Genomic DNA, 21,795 nt, shown 5'->3' with positions numbered 1-21,795 from the left:
GAAAACTCATCTTTCTATGATATTGCCTATTCATTTAGAAGGGGACCTGTGTTCCTATCAGTGGCCCAAATTCTCCTCAATCCTTGCTAAGCAGTTATGCCTATGCCAGATTATTCCCTTCTAGACACAATTTCATCAATGCCTCATGAGTTTGTCAAAGTAGCTGCCATTTTGGAATCCTCCCAAGTGTTAGAAAGCAAAAAGAACCTTAGAATACAACTAGCTTCATTACACTAGGCTTTAGAATGAGGTCTTTGGGGAAGTCTTTCAGAGACAGGTCTTTCCCTGTTTCCTGGAATAGCAGATAGTAATAACGGCCTTTCTGGAGAAAGCAAGGATTGTCATAGGACTTCATTACATCACTCTAGCCACAGGTCAGAAGATTTTCTACTACATGACTCTTGTCTTTTTTATGTTTTCAGGAAGGTCCAGGGACTTTATTTAGCTTTCCTTACTATCTGGAAAGCATTCTCTATCCTAGAGTCAGGCCCAAACCTTCTCCCAGTTTTCTAGGTCCACCTACTCCATAATGACTTCCCCTGGTAACTCCAGCCCACAGATACTTCCCTTTTTCCAAACACTAAGTACTCATGATCTGAACCACTACTCTCTTAACCCTCATTGTAAACATGTGCTATGCTTCTTGTACCTCTTACAGCACTTTACACATAGTAAGTGATCAAAACCTAAACTCTCTCAGCTAGGGCAGCAGTTACTGCAGCGGTGGTTAATAGCTTGGGCTCAGAAATCATACAAAATCCAGTTCGACCCCAACTCTTTTAATTACTAGCTTGAGCACGTCGGTGTTCCTCTCCATATTTCAGTTTTCTCATTGCAAAGTGGAAATAATGATCATAATATGTACTTCATAGGGTCACTGAGAAGTCACTGAGATAATGCATATGAATGGTTTAGCACAATGTTCAAAAATATGTGTAACACTCAGTAAGTGTTGTTATTATCATGCTTGATGGTAATTTATGGACACTCCCTTTGCTGCTTTGCAGCCTGCCACCCACACTCCTTTTACCTTGATGGAGCTTTCTGGGGCACATGAGTGACTCCACTCAGGAAATTATTGTACCTAGGGCTGGATTTATGGAAAATAAAAGCAGAAGTTTCCTGTTACCATATTGTGATACAGTTGGCCAGAAGAATGTCTCTGGAAAATTTGAGCAAAATTATGATATATGGAAACCCTCCAAGACACAGCAGTCAGGCACATGCCTGACCAGAGTAGAAATTATCCAGTGTTTCTGTTCAGGACAGGGCTCCTGAATTCAAGTTGTTGCCCCAGTGACTGGAAAGCCATCACATGGATTATAAGACCCACTGTCATTGATATTGGAAATGTGTTAAGCATTGAGACAACTCACCAACCCACCCAGCTGCTCACAGGTAGACGTCTTCACGGGAAGCCTGAGGCAGGGCCTGCTACAGATGGCTTTCCCCTCTGTTTAGGTGAAACAGATTAACCTTTTCATAATTCATTGTAACATTTCGGGGGAGAGGGGAAGAAAAATGCATCACTCCATGGTGTTTGGTTATTATCTATATCTATTTTTATAGATGATGTGTACATAATCTATAGATGCAGATTTTTTTTGGCCAGACACTAAAGCCTGGGAGGAAAACTACTCTTATGGGCTTAGAAAATAACATGATTCAAAACAATTCTGCTTTTCACCTTCAAGTCAGAAGCTGTTCCATGGAAACCATTCAAACCCCAAGCAGAGTGTTGCACTGCCCATACCTGATGAGGAGAGAGCCTCTTTATCAATTACTCAGAATCAGCTAAAACTCCTGCTCTAAACACCGATTGGTCTAGTAGGGCTCTCTTTACTCTTGAACACAGCAGATCTTTCTTTCCTTCTTTTTTCCCTCTGGCCTTTTCAAACCACAAACCTGATTTCCCATCCCAGCAGACAACATCTTGCCATCTGCTCCAACATCATCCAATCTCACCTGCAGGGCTTAGTCTCTAGGGAGTTTGCCTCTAATGCCATGTGGCCATTTTTAATTAAAGATTTCCAAAGCAGGAAACATTAACTTTAAAAACTGTACAAAAAAAGAATGCCGAATAACAGTAAGAATACATTGTCCCTTGGGTATGTCAAATACCACACAGAGACTATAGCCCATTTGCAACATTTCAAAAATAATATTTCAACTGCCTTTATAATTAACAAGGTGAAAAAATAAGAAATGAAGAATAACAATTCAGTTGAGTTTAAATAGAGACTATTTTATTATTTTGGGGTTTGAAGTCACTGATTTCCAACTCCATAAAATACATTACTAAATTAAATTGATTTTGTTTTTAAGTCATGAATTATGCTTCCTCTACCCATAATAAAGTTCCATTTGTCATTCTGCAGATGGACTAGCCCATCTATAATGATCCTTGCCCTATACAAAAATGACTTCTGTTGCTCACCTCTGCCTTCAGTTGTTTTTATCGTGGCCCAGATGGAGTTACAGGGGGTCAGACTTTCACCTCTGTAATACTTTCCCCTTCGGGACCAATAGATGGTGAGGGTGTAGACTTGTAGCCCTGAGCACAGATTGAGGGGAACTGGGACACACCAGATCAGAACCAAATCTACAATCTTAATGATAGTGATATTGTCTAAGCATTGGGGTTAAACACCCATAAGGATTGAACAAAAAGAGAGCTAGGTTGAGTACGATTTCATAGTGATGGTGCTTGTTAGACACACCAGCATGAAGCAAGAGCTAATATTCGTCAGTAACTCTCTTTCATGGGCAAAATCATCCTGCACAGTTCACAGCACATAAACAAATTTAAACATCTGTTATGTTTGGGGATTTGGCTTTAATATTTGTGGGGATGGGCACAGGACATGAAACGCTAGAAAATATTGTTCATTAAAGATAGAACAAACATGTCACAAGAAGATAAAGGAAAATCTGGATAGCTAAGAGGTATATGAAGTTATGCTCTACCTCTCTAACAATTAAAATGGATACGTTAAAACAAAAAAAAAATGCTACCTTCTGTCCATGGTACATGGTAAACATTTGAAAATAAAATAACAGAATAGCAATAATAACACCTACTATGGGCCAGACTATGTTCTGAGTAAAACATACATTGACTCATTTACTCCTCACAGGACATTATGAAGAAGATGCTAGTATCGTTCCATTTTACTGTTGAGAAAACTGAGGGGAAGAGATGTTAAGTATCTTAACCCAAGGTTACATAGCAGGAAAGTGGCAGAGCCAAGGTTTAATACCAAGCACTCACGAGGATGTGGGGAAATGAAACATTCATGCACTGCTATTAGGAGATCAAACTGGTACAACCATTCAAGGTGGAAATCTGGAAATGCTTAGTGGAATTAGATATGCTTCACCCTACTACCTATAGCAATCGCACTTCTCCGAGATGTATATCCCAGAGAAATGACACACAAGTCCATAAGGATATATAGACACATATATTTACTGCAGCTCTGTTTGCAGGTATTCACAGATAGGGAAATGGATAAATTAAATGAAATATATTTAATACATGTATTTGATCCATTAAATATACATATATGGCAGGATGCTACATACTTGTCAAAAATAATGAACAGGATAAATTTTAAAATCTATAAGTAAGGAAAAGCAAAAAATAATGAGAGCACAAAACTGTTTCTGTAATTTTTTAGTACAAACCACACAAATTTCAAGGCTATTTTTGTAAATAAGCAAATAAAATAGGCAAATAAAAGTTGAGTCATTATGCTACACCAAATTATAGCCTCCATGAAGATTCCACACCCTAATCCCCAGAACTGTAACTATGTTAATTTATATGACTTAATTGTAGATGTAATCAAGGTCACTAACCATTTGACCTTAAAATAAGAAGGTTATCCTGTATTGTTGGGATTGGTAAATGGCCCCTTAAAAGCAGACAGGAAGGCAGAAGCAGAAGCTGGGGAGATTAAGCACAAGAAGGATCTAGCACACAACTGCAAGCTCTGAAGGTAGAGGGGGTACAAGCCAAGAGATACATTAGCTTCTAGATGCTGAGAATGACTCCCACAAACAGCCAGCAAGGAATCGTATGCAACCAACAACTCAAATAAGCTGGAAAGTAGACTCTCCCCACAACCTCCAGAAAACAGCCAAGGCTAGCCAACACCTTGAATTCAACCTTGGGAGACCCTTAGCAGAGAACCCAGTCAAGTCCGCTGGGCTTCTTTCCTACAAACTGTGAGATAATAGATGTTCATTGTTTAAAGCTGCTATGTTTGTGGTAACTCGTTAAGGCAGCCATAGAAAACCAATGCAGTCATCCAGGATATATATGAAACAGTCAAGTGGTGGTGCAGATAGATGGAGGGATATAGAGTGAAGAGAGGAAACAGCAGCAAAAATAACAGAATAAAAGAGAATTATTGCATGGATTGATGTTAATATTGTATCATAAATTGAGGACTGTAATCAATTCAATTCTGTGAATCTGAGGTCACGAATTACTATAGAGGCTGGGGGTGGTGACTCACACCTGTAAAATCCCAGCATTCTGGGAGGCTGAGGCGGGTGGATCACCTGAGTTCAGGAGTTCAAGACCATCCTGGCCAACATGGTGAAACCCCGTCTCTACTAAAAATACAAAAATTAGCTAGGTGTGGTGGTGGGCGCCTGTAATCCCAGTTGCTTGGGAGGCTAAGGCAGGAGAATCACTTGAACCCGGGAGGCGGAGGTTGCAGTGAGCCAAGATCGTGCCATTGCACTCCAGCCTGCACAACAAGAGTGAAACTCCATCTCAAAAAATAAAAAAATGACTATGGATACAAAAAAAATAGAAAGAATGTATAAGACCTACTAATTCATAGCACAATAGGGTGATTATAGTCAATAATAATTTAATTGTATGTTTTAAAATAATTAAAAGAGGCCAGGCATGGTTGTTCATGCCTGTAATCCCAGCACTTTGGGAGACCAAGGTAGGCAGATCACTTGAGCCCAGTAGTTGGAGACCAACCTGGACAACATGGGGAAACCCCAACTCTACAAAAAAATACAAAAATTAAATGGGCATGGTAGTGCACCTGCAGTCCCAGCTACTCCAGAGGCTGAGGTGGGAGGTTAGATTGAACATGGGAGGCAGAGGTTGGAGTGAGCCAAGATCATGCCACTGCACTCCAGCTTGGGTGACAGAGCCAGGCCCTGTCTAAAATAAAATAAAATTAAAATAAAAACTAAAAGAGTATAATTGGATTGTTTGTAACATAAAGGATAAATGCTTGAGGGGATGAATAACCCATTCTCCATAATGTGATTATCATGCATTGCTTGCCTATATTAAAACATCTCATGTACCCCATAAATATATACATCTACCATGTCCTCACAAAAATTAAAAATACGAAAGTTTAAAAAATTACTATGCAGGTAAAAAAAACTTGGTAACTTTTTGCAATTTTCGAGAACGCTCTCTGGTATAAGCAAGGTGCAATTTTTCATGGAATAATAAAGTTGAACCCTTTTCTGAACAATCCCAACTTCCTTAGCCTATGGATTTGGAGAGTTTGCTTTGATAGAAGTTGTCTTTCCCTACAGTGGTAGTGGGGTAGCTCAGCAGGGTGATCTGAGGTCTCTGGCCCACTGAGAGTTCTCCTCATTGGCCCCTGTCCATCTTCTCTCCTTCCCCAGCTGGTCCCTTCTCTCTACACTGCAATACTTCATTTCAGCCCACCCCTAAATTCTATGGCAGATTTAATTCCTCTTTCTAACATTACCCTCAACCACTGGCAATTTGAGAAACCCCATTCTTGGCCTTCCAAACAAGCAGCATATCTCTGCTCACAATAAATGTGGATAATTAGAGTGGAATTTGAGTAATATGGGAGTGGAGGTTTCTGTATGTCATGGATTATAAAACTTAATTCACCAGAAGCTTCCAGCCAGATATGAATTACTGGCCTTAGAGTATGAGAAGGGTTTCATGTTTCCACTGAGCACACACGTCACATGTGACCCACACATGCATCACATGCACACACACGCACATAGCACTCAGACCCACGTGGCTATTCCCAAGCCCAAGGGCAGGGAAAAAGCTTTTCTGAGTTTTCAGTCCTCAGGAGAAATCTCCATCCCTGTCACTCAGGAGGGGATTTTCCTTTGTCACATCCAGGAAAACCCCACAAGCTCTGAGCCCTCAGTTGATTTGCACCCTAGTCCCAGATGGAGAAAACAACCCCAAGCACCCGTCTGATCGCATTTGTGACAGTAATTATCCAGGCATTGGACACCAAGTCATTACCAGTGAATGAATTATTACTAGAAACAGTTAGTGTCCAATAATGAAGTTAATGGGAGATAATATGACAGTCATTAGACTGACATGGCTCTCTTCATTGTTGAAGAAAGAGGAACAGTCATCAAAAGCTGGCAACAGGCAGGCAGGATTAATCTATGTCAGGCAGTGTTTACGATACGTCTCCTGGACTCTCTTCTTGTGGCAGGGCCATGATTAGAGGGTTAGTGTTTCCTGTTGGAAGTCAGCATCAGCTGTTCAGAAGAGAGCCCACTGTGCTGCAATAAAACTGTCAGTCTTGCAGCTCCCTGACCATAGGATGCCCTTGCACATGGTTATGTTTTCGCACGCTCTGTTCCCTCTGTCTGAAATGTCCCTTTTCTTTCACCTGTAAAATTCCTACACTTCCTTCCATCCCTAACTCAAGTGTTACTTCCAGGGTAAAATCTTCTACAAATCGTCTAGGAGAATTTAGCCTCCCCTAACATGGGATGTCGTGCATTGCCTTGTTCAAAGCTCTACTGTTATTTCTCAGTATTACGTTCTACTTATGTGTTTACATGTCTGTATTTCCTGTTTCACGGAGACTGTCTTAGAGGCAGAAGCTCTGTCTTCCTCGTTTCTATATCACCAGCACCTAGGAAATTACCTCTAGGTTCCTTACAAATATCTAATGAAGGAGGAAAAGAAGGAAGACAGAAAGATGGGAACAAGGGATGGAGAGAAGGAGAGAGGAACCAAGTTTCCGATCCGGACTCTGCACCACATGACTGACAGCAAATCACTTAATCCATCTTACCCTAAATTTCTTCATGTTCCAAGAGGAGGATCATCCCTTCTACTTTTGACTTCATGAACTGGGAGGTAGATAAAGGAGCTAGAATAGATACAGGAAAGCACTTTGGGCTAAGATGAAATAATCTGTAAGTACAAAGAGTTTTTATCTTCGTATTGCACTGCATAGAGACCGCATCTTTTTGACATTGTATAAAAATATTCTTCAGTGTGATTCCACACCTCCCTGTGCATTTCTGTGTATATGCATGGATGAGACTGAGAACAAACGAATCCAGCTTGATTCACCAGAAAGAGCCAGAGCTGTGTGGGTAGTTCACGATACCCCTGTGCCTGGAGAGTTGCCTTTTCCTTTAGCTTCATTCACTGCAGTTGGTGCAAAGTGAAAATCTTGAAGGAAAAATTTCTAGTTAATGGCAAATCCTTTTGATAAGACACAAGAAGAGAATAGGTGAAGGGTAATAATTCCTTCCCTTTAATGGCACTGGTCTATATGGTGTGTATCTGATAGCAATTCCCTGCAACACCGCAAAATAAGACGTCATTTTCCAGATGACCCACTGTGCCCTGAAATTGAAGCCACAGAGTTCCCGTAGAAGGAGTCTGAGCCAGGGATACACCAAAAGCTTAGGGGTGATCTGAAGTGGTTGAAAGCCAGGAATGGGGAACTTTATGTCCTCTTAACCTTCAACCCGTCTTTCTACAGCAGGAACTCTCAGCCTGCCAGGCTAGGCAGAGGACAAAAAGAAGCATGACCTGAACTTTTCAAAGGTGAGAATATACTGCATCATGGAATTTGAAAAGTAGAGACTAATGGATTGTTCCTGAATGTCAACTGGTCTTATGGATAAGTCAGGATTCTCCAGTGATATTTTTTGGCTCTGTTTCCCCTCCCAAATATCCTGCTGAATAGTAATTCCCAATCTTTGGGGAGGAACCTGGTGGGAGGTGACTAGATTATGGGGGTGAATTTCCCACCTTGCTCTTCTTGTGATAGTGAGTGAGTTCTCAAGAGTTCTGATGGTTTAAAAGTGTGTGGCACTTCCCCCTTAGCTCGCTCGCTCTCCCATTCCACCAAGTGAAGAAGGTGCATGCTTCCCCTTCACTTTCCGCCATGAATGTAAGTTTCCTGAGGCCTCCCCACCCATGCTTTCTGTATAGCCTGCAGAACTGTGAGCCAATTAAAACCCATTTATTTATAAATTACCCAGTTTGGGGTAGTTCTTTATAGCAATGTGAGAATGAACTAATACATTCAGATAAAGAGAACTAACAGGATATAAACAAAATAAATAAAATACAATATGCACATTTATTATAAGAAATTGTCTTATGCAACTATGAAGGCTGGGAAGTCCCAAAATCTGTAGTCAGCAAATCTAAAGACCCAGGAAAGCCCATGTGTAGGTCCAGTCTGAGTCTGGAGGCCTGAGACCCAGAAGAGCCAAAAGTGTAAGTTCCAGTATAAAAGAAAGCAAGCTCAAGACCTAAGAAAAGCCAATGTCCAAGTCCAAAGGCCAGAAAACATCAATGTCCCAGGTCAAGAAGTCAGGCAGGAGGAGTTTCCTCTTACTCAGGCTTTTTATTCATTCAAGTCTTCAGTTGATTGAATGAGACTCACCCACATTAGGGAGGGTAATCTGTGTTACTCAGTCTACCAACTCAAATGGGAATGTCATTCAGAAATGCCTTCAGTGACATATCCAGAATAATGTTTAGCCAAATGTCTGGGTACCCCATGGCCCAGTCAAGTTTACACATAAAATTAATCATCATAACTTAGAACTCCTTTCTACCAGCTCTCCTACTGTGGCAGCACCAACTACTATGAATAGGAATCCCATGAGGATCTCCCAGCTAAAATGCACATAGGATCTCTTCTAGAACTTCACCCAGAATGCAAACCTACTGCTTCAGCAAACTGTTGCTGCTGCCACGATGCTATATGGAAGCTCATTTTGACATTAAGCTCCTTGAAGGAGGGGGCCATATCCTTTTTATTATTATATTGTCTCATTTCTCTTTATGTCATTCACAGTACCAAGATAGGGCCTGGCACACAATAGATTTTTTTTTTTCTAGAACTAGCTTCTATTTCTCCTTTTTATGTACCAGGACTATAGCCACCTTAACCACTATCTATTCCTTGGACATCTCTATTTCTTTCCTACTTCCTTGCTTTTGCCCAAGTTGTCCTCTGGGCCTGGAATGTCCTCCTCACTTCTACACGCTCTGCTCCTTCCTATCTTTCACAGCCCAGCTTAGACATCACTTGGTGACTATAATGGTTTCTACTATTCGTAAGTTCATCCGGTCAGTGGTGGTACAACATCATCTCATCTCAGCTGTCAGTATTAAGCATTGAGTGTGCCCTGGGCCAGACTTAGTTCTTCACACTGGGTTGTGAGCACTAGGTTGCAACCCTGAAAATTTCGTATTCCTCCTTGCCTGATGAGTCCATTTTTCTGTGGTTCTAAGTAAATGAATACTCATAGGGCTTAAAATTTACCAACCTGTGAAGGTATAGGCCAGATGAGACCAGGGTGGCCATGAGGAAGGAATAACCAACTCCTCTAACATTGACACAAAGCCTCTTAAAGAAAGAAAGCACTCTGTTTCTCATCTAGTGCAGCTCCAGGCAGGAAGCTCTGGAAAGGTAGCACCGAAAGCTTCTACAAAGTTAGTTAAATCAAGGCCAGAGATGGCCCTGCAGCCTCAACTTTCACAGGGATAAGAAAATTCTACAAAGTCATTGCATGGACCTGGTGCAGCCTTGGCAACAGATACCCTTTACGTACTTGGGTGAGTGGGCGATTATGTTAACTTTCCAGAGGCCACAAGTACTCCAAGGCATGGTATATGAGCTGCTGCCGTGAAACTGCATATTCTTGGAACAGTGTTAAAGGCCCTAGGTGCGTGATATTTTGGTAAGTCCTCAAGTATACCAAACTGCAAAAGGCACCTTAATTAATTGTCATTTATGCCAAACCATTTACCAGCATGACTTCATTAGCAGCAACAGACACGACTCTGGGAAACAGAGAGAAAGAGCTCCTTCCTTTCAGGTGACTGTGGTACCTGTGACCCCACTCTGACTGTACTGCCTATGCGGGCCATTGAATAGGGAATTGGAGTTGGCCTGAGACAGCTCATTTGTAATGACTAGAGCATTAATTATAAGTAATTTGGAAAATGTCTTAGTGACTGTGTGTGCATTGAGTGGAACCAATTAAACTGGTGAAGTCAGGCACTTAGGAGGCCAGGCAGCTGCTTCATGGATAGCTCAGGTAAAAAAGGAGCTGCGAGGTGTCCACCCAGGGCCTGGTAGTCCTGTGTTAGCAAGAAGTATCCTCTCAGAGAGGCTGCCTCCAGCTGAGCTGGTGATGTTAGGCAGAATGGAATGAAGCATAGAACGGGGGCTGAAAGGACAAGAAAGCCCCCATTATTTTTGCAAAATTAAACATACTTCTAAGAGTACTAAGGCTATTACTAGCCATTATCTGACATTAATATACAGAAGCTGATAATGAAAAGGGGTTGATGATCTCTTATACTAAATCAGCATATACTTAAGCAATACACTTAAAATGAAGGCAAGGCAATTAGCAAATCAGGTCAAATATAGATGTAGTCAAGCTAACTCGTGATGGAATTTTTGAGCCTCTCTTGTGATCCACTGGGTTCCCTCCTGGGGAAAGCAGGTATTCAATAGGTAAATTCTTCTTCAATGTTGTTACCTACGGAACAAACTTATGACCTTCATTCCTCACATCCAAAAATCTCCAAACTTCTAAGACATCATATTTCAACTAAATTTCTATTTTGTTTTCCTTTTGTGGTATTTCTTTGGTATAAATAATTCGTATCCTATTTTGATGTCTTTTAGTTTTAAATCTATTTTAGCCCCACACCTCATATGCCTTTGGTTTTCCTTCCTAGCTGTTTTTCCAGTATTTGTCTCCCATAACAGAGGTCAAAAGCATTTTCTTAAAAGGTCTAATTAGTAAATACTTTAGGCTTTGCGTACACTTTGGTCTCTGTCACCGCTACTCAATTCTGCCATTGTAACACAAAAGCAGCCAGAGACAATATATACATGAATAAGCATGGCTGTGTTATAATCAACCTTTATTTACAAAAACAGACGAGGGCAGATTTGGCTTGTGGGCAGTAGTTTGCCAACCCCTGTCCTATAGGAACTGAAAGAAGAGGACAGAGTCGCCTGACAATTAAGCCTGCCAGCCTCTACAGATTTTCCTATGAAAGCACACATTCCTACCCCTGTACCAATTCAAGCAGAGGTAGATGGGCCACTGTAGCACTAACCCTAGGGATAATGCTGGCCCAGAGCTGCTCTGTTACAACAAAGGTGGATCAGATCACTGATCTGCTCAAAGCCCCCAACAGCTTCCCATCTTATGAAGAGTGAAAGGCAAAGGCTCAACCTCATCTGCAACCCCAGTTCCATTGCTCTGTGATCTTATCACCTTCCACTCTCTCCACTTACATGTCTGGCCATTGACTTCCTCATATTCCTCCAGGAAGCCAGCAAGGCTTCTGCTCCAGATCCTTACCCTTATAATTTCCTCCTCCTGGAATGTTCTTTCTCCAAAAATCTGCATGGCTCACTGTCTCACTTCCTTCAGATCTTTACTCAGAAACCACCTTCTTGAGGCTTTTTTTTTTTTTTTTTTTTTTGAGACAGAGTTTTACTCTTGTTGCCCAGGCTGGAGTGCAATGGTGTGATCTTGGCTCACTGCAATCTCCTCCTCCCAGGTTCAAGCAATTCTCCTACCTCAGCCTCCCAAGTAGCTGGGATTACAGGAATGTGCCACCACACCCGGATAATTTTGTATTTTTAGTAGAGACGGGGTTTCTCCATGCTGGTCAGGCTGGTCTCGAACTCCTGATCTCAGGTGATCCACCCGTCTAGGCCTCCCAAAGTGCTGGGATTACAGGCATGAGCCACCACACCCAGCCTCTTGAGGCCTTTTCTGTTCACCCTATCTAGCATTTCACCTGGCATTTCATATCGCCCTTTCTGCTTCATTTTTTTTCCCTAGCCCTTAACAATATTTAACAATATATCTCTATACTTACTTACGCTGTGATTATGTCTATGTCCCTCTACTCCACTAGAACCCAACCTTCTTAAGGGCAAGAATTTTTATCTGCCTTGTTGACTGCAGTATCCACGTTACCTAGAACAGTGTTCAGAAAGTACTCAATCAATATTTGTTAAATGAATGCATCCTGGCCTATATTCCTAAAAGGATCCCCCTTAAACGGAAGCATGCTTAAATTAATGTCATTTCTCTTTTGCCTAAGTACACATTCCTTTCCCCTCTACCCTATGCATATGCCTACCTGGGAAAGATTAGAAATTATCATAGAATTAATGTAAAGAAGAAAAAATGAGATGATATTCAATTATGGAAGTCAAAATGTAGATTGTCAAAGCTCTACCACTGCTGGCAAGCCAGTCAATTATCTTGAGAAAGGATTATCCAAATCTTTTTATCTTCTTTAACACATCAACACCTGATCTCAGTCAGCACCAGGACTCAATCACAAGTGTTTATTCTCTGGTGCAAAGGCCCACTCTGCGAGGTAGAGGCTGTGGCTGAGGGATGTGGAAGAAAATCCCACCCTTTGTTGGATCCTGGGTCTCATGGAAAGGAAGGGGATGAGGCACAGAGAACAGCAGTTCTTCCCCTTCCTCTTTGTGGACTTAGGCTCAGAAACAGAAGGTAAATTAGATAACTTAATAGGAGCACTCATGGGAGGACCATGCATCCTGTTTCTCTTGGAGACTCTGGAAAGAACCCTGCTAACAAGCAGCCTCCCAGCAGCCTGGGTCTTAGCCAGAGGTCATCACTGGCGTGTGGTTGAAGGGAAGCCTGTGTTTAGGTTGACTAAACCACTGCCAGTTCCTGGATGATATGGCTGCTGAGCTGAGAGCCACTGGTGCCCCCCTAGAAAGGTCCATGGCAGAGCAAAATGACCCCACAGGAGGGCCTGGGGGTGGACTTTCTGGCCAGTAGACTGACAGGAGACATGGTGTGAGGCCCAGTAGTAAGATGCCTGTGGCAGCCAAGGTGAGGCCAAGTCAGGCAGGGAGCTCCCCTGGCAGTGTTGGCTGAGACAAGAGAAATGAGCCTGAGTGCACCAGCCACCCACTTCAGTGTCAGAAACAGAGGACCACGCAGACAAGGGACACTGCCAGCCAGCACTCATAGGAGGAAATAGCAGGAGGGCTGGGGAGCGATTCCTCACTGTAGCCGACCATGGCCAGATCCCACCAATCTGGTTTCCTCTCCTTGAGCTCATAGAGAAACTACATTTACTAGCTGCTCTTGCAGTGAGGCTGGGGCCTTGTGACCAGGTTCTGGTAAATGGAATCTGAGCAGTGTTGATGGCCACCGCTTCAGGCCTGGTCATCATCAACCCCATACCCAATTCTTCATCATTCTCTTTCCTCCGCCACAGCAAACACTCAGGTCATGTACTGAGGGAAGAGGGACAGAGAGGGAGATGGATATTTTGATAGAGATTAAAAAAGAGATGAAAAGAGAGCATGAATGATTGTCACCACTTTAAGGAAAGCTACCCTTTCCACATCCAACTGTGACGTGGATGAGAAATAAGCCTTTGCGTTAAGCCACTGAGATTTTTGGAGGGTTGTTTGTTACAGAAGCTAGCATTATTGTTATTATTGTTGTTGTTGTTTGTAGAGATGGAGTCTCACTTTGTTCCCCAGGGTGGTCTCAAACTCCTGGCCTCAAGCTAACCTCCTGCCTAGGCCTCCCAAAGTGCTGGGATTACAGACATAAGCCATTGTGTCCAGCCCTGAAGCCAGCATTATATATCCTAACTTATATGTCTGCATCATTCCAAGTGACGTGCACCCCTCTCCCATATGCCCAAATGCTAGAGGCTTTTTTTTCTCTCTAGGGAGAGATTGAACACTACCTGAAGGGATTATTTAACTTCCCAACTTTCAAAATTGGACTAAGGTTATATCAGACTCGACATGTCCTTAATTTATTTTCCCACTAAGCGGAAGTTCAGGAGAAAAACCAAATTAATCATAGGCAAAAGTGAAATTTCAGATTTAATTCTTTTCACATCTGTGTTAGGTAGGAACTTAAATTTGTGATTCCATTACACACAGTTTGGGAGAAAGGTTTTCACAATAATTCTAAGATTTTGATTCTAGCTTCTAAGAGTCCAATAAGAGAATGTAAATGTTAGGCTCAAGAAAGTATAGAAATAAGGAAATTTGCATAGGGGCTTGAGCAGGAAGAACAAAGTCAGTTTCTCCTACTGTACTCTCAATAGTCAATACAGAAGACTTCTGTAACCTGTAGTCACCCAGAAGGGTGTGGGGATTTTCCCCCCAGCAACCACTAATCTATCAATTCTGCAGCAAATTATTTATTTAGTGGCACCCAGCTGGGTGTCCCCTAATTCAGTTCTAACACTGTCTACCTGGAGATAGTGTCAGATCACACAGGTTGAGGGTTCAGTCCCACAAGGCTCCACTGACTTCTGATGCCAATCACAAGTCCCAGGTTGTCTTACCCATGCTTACCATTGACCGGCTATAAATCAGGGTTCCCGCAACCCCCTCCTTGGATTCTATTAGTTTGCTAGGGTGGCTCCCGAATCAAGGAATCATGTCTACTGGTTTATTATAAATGATATTACAAAGGATACAGATGCAGAGTTGCACAGGGTGCGTATAGGGGAGGGGGCGTGGAGCTTCCATGCCCTCCCTGGGTGTGCCACCCTCCAGGAACCTCCCCGTGTTCAGCTATCCTGGAAATGCTGCCAAGCCTGTCCTTTTGAGGTTTTTATAGACACTACCTGTGTTGCAAGGATTAGGTGTTACATTGTATAAAAATCACGGAACCCAGTGCCTGGTATAGCATACGTGTGCAATGATTACCAGTTAAAACAATAATACAAATTGACAAAAAGGGACACTGAGAGAATTCCAGAAGTATAGAGTTGAAAGAAAACTTTTGTACTCTAAGTCCTACTTCCTGAAAGGATGCCATATTTTCAACACTGAAGGATAAATTTCTCTCTCTTCTAGTCTATATCTGTCTGTCTGTCTGTGTGCTTGTCTTTCTCTCTCACACATACACACACGCACTCCCCATATAACTATTTTATTTGTATTCAAATATGCCATTGCAGTCTTCTGCAAACGTAATCAGATCCTAACTCAGAACCTCACAAACTTCCCATACGACATCACAACCTTGCAAATAGCCTTTTGGGACAAGCTGTAACACCCCATTGGTATCCCATCTCCAATAAAACAAACAACAGGTGTCTCTTCTTCTGAGTGGATTATGAACCCATTTCACCCTAAAGGGACTGATATCACTAAAGATGTATCAGCAGAGAATGGATGACCACTCATGTAGGATGCTGAGAGAGGGAAAATCATACATTTTTTTTCTGACTGGCTTTGACCTTCCAAGCTGTAAGGAACGATCTATTCCTACAGACCCAGCACCATTAGTTTCTGAAATAAAGGGCCCTCTCCCCATATAAATTGGAACCCACTCCCCAAATAAATTGTGTCAATTGTGTCTAGAACAAACTTCACTGCCAGGTGCCCCCTGGACACTGGGCTGCAATCCCCTTACTGTCCCCAACTATGCATGGGCAGCATCTCTGTGTCCTTCTAGTCTGGTCCTTGCTTCTTCATTCCATTTCCAACATCCCCTTGGAAGCTCTAACCCTAGCCCAACTGACCAGAAACTTCCCCTTAGTTTACCCTTGCCAGCCCTTTCCCTGGAGCTAGACCTGGCTTTACAGCCTCAACACAAACTTGAACAGATCTTCTTGAAAACAACCTACATATCTACAAATACAAGAATCATTGCCTCTACAAGAAGGCCCTCTACAGTGCCATGTTCTCATGGCCTTGGATTTTACTCCAGTCTAGATCCACCCAGAGTTCTGATTCTTTTTCTTCCTGGCCTGCAGCCTTGGGTGATGCCCCTTCCCTGACAAGAGGCACCAGCATATTCCACCACTTCGAGAAAACCGACAGAAATGATCACTGAGCAGCTGAGCGTGACAGACCCTGGGCCACACACTTTCATCAGTTACTTGGGGCTTCTCCTTCTTTTAGAGTATGTGATGCCTTTGTAAATCTCAAAAATATTTCTTACTTCTACATCTATGACACTTTTAGTATTTGCTAATTATGAAATATGTAATGACAAGCAGCTACTATGAATTTAGTTATGCCTTTAAATGACTTTTTACTTGTATTAACCCCAATGGTGTACACACACATAACACATACACATGCACACACACACATATTTGGAAATAAGTTGTACAAATAAGAACAAGGCACATTTTTTACTCCTGCAAACAGTGCTTAGCACACTGTATATAAATTAAACTTCAGCCCTCCCAGGTGACTATATCTCATAGGTACATTCTTTACCACTAAGGTAGGGAATCTGGTGAGTGCTGAGGGCCTCGATTTGTTTTTCCACCACCTTCCACTTGACATCTGACATTTCCTTGCATATACCTAGTTTGTGCACAGTTCCCTCCTCACCAACTGACTTTACCCCTTCCTCAGTCCTCAAGAAACAATGTGAAAAATGCAAGCAACCGTGACCTTAATGCAGAGAAAAATATTATTATACTTTAACCTATAAAAAATAAAGGATTTATCATTTACAAATTTTGATGTTTTTATTATTACTTAGATGGAATTAAAAACTTCCTAAGTGATAGTGGCACACTAGCATATTATGGTAATAAACTGAAAACCCTTGACTAGATGATCTTCATAATGATAAAACACCACGTATCAGTTGTTACTTTTGGCCAGGCAGTTTATGTTCAGTAGCTCACTTAATCTTCAATAAATTCCTATGAGGAATTTACCAGAGAGGAAACTAAGACTCAGCTCCAAATCCTAGGGTTAGTAAGTGGCTTCAACCCCAGTTCTTTCTGTACAAAAACCAACACAGTTAATCATTATTCTCGATGACTTGTTTTTCTAGAGTAGTCCTAAAAGGAAGGAAGCTTTAACCACTGCTAAATTATTTTGAGTTTTGGCCATTGCTCCCATTATTGATATAAAAGGCTCAGGGAGGTCAGCTATCAAGATTCTGCCACTGATTAAAGCAAACAAACAAACAAAGCACATCTGGGTTCCAACTGGGCTATTCAATAGGCCCATGTGTTCTCTGCCCATTTATTTCAATAACTTGAATGCTGAATGCAGTATGTGTAGTAATTAGGATCTCAGACTCTGGAGCCAGACTGCCTGATTTCAAGCCCTGACTCCACCCTTAACTAAGAAAACCTGGACAAGTTGTCACTGGACCTCTTCATGACTAAGTTTTTCCTCATCTGTGTGATGAGAAGAATAATCTTATAATTATATGAATTAATATATTTAAGTATTTAGCACATTGCCTTACACATGGTAGGAACTATGTATGTATTTGCCATTATTTCTTGATGTGAAGAAATACCTTGCATTGAATATATTTCACTTGCCATCTTGAAATAAAAGAGAGCCAATAAAAATAGATGGGGGGGTGGGGGGCCGGGCGCAGTGGCTCACACCTGTAATCCCAGCACTTTGGGAAGCCGAAACGGGAGGATCACAAGGTCAGGAGATCGAGACCAGCCTGGCCAATGTAGTGAAACCCCATCTCTACTAAAAATACAAAAATTAGCCAGGCATGGTGGTGTGAGCCTGTAGTCCCAGCTCCTCAGGAGGCTGAGGCAGGAAAATTGCTTGAATCTGGGAGGCAGAGGTTGCAGTGAGCTGAGATTGCACCATTGCACACCAGCTTGGGCGACAGAGTGAGACCTCGTCTCAAAAAAAAAAATAGGGGGATAAAGGAGTTAACATCCAATGGCCACCATCCATCTGACAGGACTCGTACATCCTTTAAACACTCAGCGAGATGAGCCTTACTATCCCTATCGACAGAGTCATCTGAATCCACATGCACATCAAGCATTAGCTGTACCCAGAGCTGCATGAGAAGTAGATGGTGGAGGATGGAAACCAAGTTATCTGACTCTAAGGTTTGACTTCTACCTACAAAAACATGATACAATCTTCTGTAATTTTAACCAAATTCAATGACATTTGGGATTAGAACTGAAGAGAAAAATCTCATGAGGAAAAACATGAGGTTCTTTGCCATTTAATAATACCAAAATGAGCACATCACCGTTAGCATTTGCAATGAATTTAAACTCTTCCTTTATACTGGATATTGTGTAACATGAACTACAAATGAGGATTTTACAAAATGCTGTGTTCAGGGTTGGCTGTGGGATGAGTGTGAATGACCTCTACCTCCAGTAACTTATAGTTTAGTATAAGAGATGACACATAATAATTAATTCATTTTGGGTTTAACACTGGATGAATATGAGAAGGATTATCCCAGATGGAGAGGAAACTTCAAGCAAAGACATTGAGGAGGAAAGAAAAAAGCAGGGTGAATTTGGAGGGTAGTATGTGGTTCTCTTCACAAGGCTGGACTGAGAGCTAGCATTTCTTCAGTTCAGGTGGGAACTCAGGTGGGCAAGTAGAAGTTGGGAAGATGTGGATTTCTATCTGGCCACAGACACCAATACACAGAAAGGTCAGGCAACTTGCTGAATATTTCAATAAATTAGCACCTCCAAGACCTGCAGGTTCTTCACACCAGAGGCTCTGGGACCTCAGTCATTCCTCCATCAGCATCATCCAGGGTAGCCTCGAGTAGGGGTCTCCACTCACGCAGGGGTCAGCCCATTTGTCATCTACAGCAATTAGAAGGCAGTTGTACTAGTTCCCTAGGGCTGCTATAACAAAGTACCACAACCTGATGACTTAAAACAAAAGAAATCTATTCTTCCACAATTCTGGAGGCCAGGAATCTTAGGTTTCTCCAGGGCCATGCTCTGGAGGTGACCCCTTCCTTGCATCTTTCAGCTTCTCTTAGCTCCAGGTGTTTCCTGGCTATGGTAGCATCACTCCAGTCTCTACCTCCATCTTCACATGGCACTCTTCTTTCTGTCTCCCTGGGTATTCTCCTCTTCCTTAAGGGCACCAGTCATTGAATTTAGGGACTGCCTGAAATCCAATATGATTGCATCTCAAGATCCTTAATGAAGACCTCTGCAAAGACTATTTGTAGATAAGGCCACATTCCCAGGTGGCAGGTGAACATGAAAATTTGGGAGACACTTTACAACTTATTGCAGCAGCCATGAGACCACACATGCAGGAGCCAAACATCGGGCTCTGAGGAGCCAGCTTCGTGGCCACCTCTGCTGCCACTGCCAAGCTGTCAAGCATAGCCAATGGCAGCCCTCAGGTGCCTACTCTTGGCCCCACAGGACCTGAGAGTTCACCCACATTTCCGTTCTGCCTGCCTTAGCTCTCTCCATGGATCAGGTGGGCATATGGCAAAGTTCACATTTTGAAGTGAGAATAACATTTATTTTGAACCCATGCTCCACTGAACAAGAGTCTGAGAAGGCAGCATGTACGTCCTGCTTCCCAGAGGGCTGCCCTTGACTCATGGAAAAACACTCAGAGGAAAATGCCGAGCTAGAGTACCATGACCTCCCATTAGATGCGCTGGCTGGAAAACATGACACACAAAGATAAGGAGTAGGAAGGCCGCAGGGGAGCAGGCCTCGGGGGCACCATGCTGCATCTCACATCAGCTCAAATGACATAGACCGCAGGCCCAAGGAAGCAGATCTTTCTTACTGGTGACTGAGGGGTGGCATTGACCCAGAAACAGGTGGGTGGGCAACTCAAGAACACAGGTCTCCAGAGGGACAATGGGCTCAGGAGAGCTGATTCTGCACCCAACCCCACACATCTCAGCATTTTATCTTTCTCTAATTGTTTAAAACAGGACTTTTGAAACTGAGCCTGTGGTTAGACTTCCAGCAGGGCAAGAATCCCCTGATAATGAATGCCAATTGTTTCCTATCATCACCCAGGCATTTTTCTGAGTATGTGGTTGATAGTGTTTGTCAGTATTCATAGGGGTCTCTCATTCCAAAATGGTTAAGAAACACGGGATTTCCTGTCTTCTCTTTGTGTATTTAAAATTTCATCGGGGAGCTTTTGTTCTCTTGTATCCCAAATGCAACACTAGAGGTTAGGGAAGAGGTGTTAAATAGACTCTTAACTTGTTGATTGATTTAGATTTAAGACCAGGCAGTCAAAGATCTTGAGTCACCTTCCCTATTTTATCACAGATCTTTTGGGGGGAAGATCTTATGTAAGTTACTGAGACCAGAATGATGAAGTTAAGATATTGGCTCTCTACAGGATGTGCCATTCTATAAAAAGGGACTATTCACAGAGCAGACATTGACATTTTGGGCCTGGCTGGTCAGCATTTAATGGAACTCTTGTAGGCTGCTGCAAAGGAGGCTGTGACTGTCAGTCTGTTTACTGTGGAATCTGGCTGATCTTCTCTAACAAGACTTACTGAAACATTCGTTGATTCTTGTGTTGCTTCAATGTTCTAATAGAAAAACTGTCCTGACTTGGTAAGCTCAGGGAGAAAAAGGCTAACTCTATGAAGGATAAAGCCACTTGCCCTACCCATGACTTGTTTTTGTATGGCCCGTAAATGAAAAATGATTTCTACATTTTTAAAAGATTGTAGAAAGCAAAACAAAATTAAAATACCCCTCCTCTCCACCACACACAAAAAAAGAATATGCAATAGCAAAGAATAAAATATTTACCTTCTGCACATTTACAGGAAAACTTTGCCAATCCCTGGCCTATATTATAATAAAATGAAACCTGGTTCCCAACCACAGCTTCAAAAATTGAGATAGTGTAGAACAGGGGTAAATCACACTTCATCACCATGGATGTGACTGTGTCTGAAACCTGGCTCCAACACCCACTGGCCAATGACCCTAGACCTCAGCCTCTTTAACTGCAAAATGGGGATAATGAAAATACCTCCTCAGTGGATTACTGATAGAATGACACAACAATTACATATTTATGTATTTATTTATTTATTTTGAGACAAGTTGTCGCTTTGTCACTCAAGCTGGAGTGTAGTGGCTCCATCTTGGCTCACTGCAGCCTCTACCTCCCAGGCTCAAGTGATCCTCCCTCCTCACCTCCTCAATCAGCTGGGAGTACAGTCATGCATCATCATGCCCAGCTAATTTTTGTATTTTTTGTAGAGATGGGGTTTCATCGTGTTTCTCAGGATGTTCTCGAACTCCTGAGCTCAAGTGATCTGCCTGCCTCAGCCTCCCACAGTGCTGGGATTACAGGCATGAGTCACCATACCCCACCCAATTACGTTTTTAAGCACTTAATATATAAGTATTTAATACAACTAATAAACTCAGTAAGTTCCAGTAGTATTTAAAATGCATTTTAAAAAAAAACATTTTTAGGCAAGGAGAGGAAACTAGACTAATAAATCCTATTCATCTAAAAGTGTTCTGAATGTTAGAGAGACCTCAAAATACTGTCTAGCTCATCTCTCAGCCTTGAAGCTGATATACTGTAATTCAAACTTTATTGATGAGAAAACTGACTTCAGAGAGGTCCATTGACTTACCAAAAGTTACAGTTTTCTACATCCTACACTAGAATGCCTATTGTGAAAGGGAGACATTTTGCACTCTCTACTCATTCAAGATATATTCATTCATTC

At 42.1% G+C, this 21,795-nt stretch overlaps 3 annotated features.

The window, feature by feature from the left end:
• Positions 15,803-16,139: a silencer, noted in NCBI's record as "fragment chr1:208551780-208552116 (GRCh37/hg19 assembly coordinates)". NCBI's record gives its function as "represses an EF-1alpha promoter that drives an FKBP-Casp9 reporter gene in an ReSE screen in phorbol 12-myristate 13-acetate-treated (for megakaryocytic differentiation) K562 erythroleukemia cells {active_cell/tissue: K562(+PMA)}" and the evidence as "EXISTENCE:reporter gene assay evidence [ECO:0000049][PMID:32094911]".
• Positions 19,692-20,457: an enhancer, noted in NCBI's record as "OCT4-NANOG hESC enhancer chr1:208547462-208548227 (GRCh37/hg19 assembly coordinates)". NCBI's record gives its function as "activates a minimal SCP1, AML or CMV promoter by ChIP-STARR-seq in naive and primed H9 embryonic stem cells {active_cell/tissue: H9 hESC(naive and primed)}" and the evidence as "EXISTENCE:reporter gene assay evidence [ECO:0000049][PMID:30033119]".
• Positions 19,936-20,230: a silencer, noted in NCBI's record as "tiled region #8874; HepG2 Repressive non-DNase unmatched - State 24:Quies". NCBI's record gives its function as "represses a minimal TATA promoter and a strong SV40 promoter by Sharpr-MPRA in HepG2 cells {active_cell/tissue: HepG2}" and the evidence as "EXISTENCE:reporter gene assay evidence [ECO:0000049][PMID:27701403]".

Source organism: Homo sapiens, chromosome 1 (genome assembly GCF_000001405.40).
Source record: "Homo sapiens chromosome 1, GRCh38.p14 Primary Assembly".
NCBI lineage: Eukaryota > Metazoa > Chordata > Mammalia > Primates > Hominidae > Homo > Homo sapiens.
This window is presented reverse-complemented; position numbering and strand designations above follow the sequence as displayed.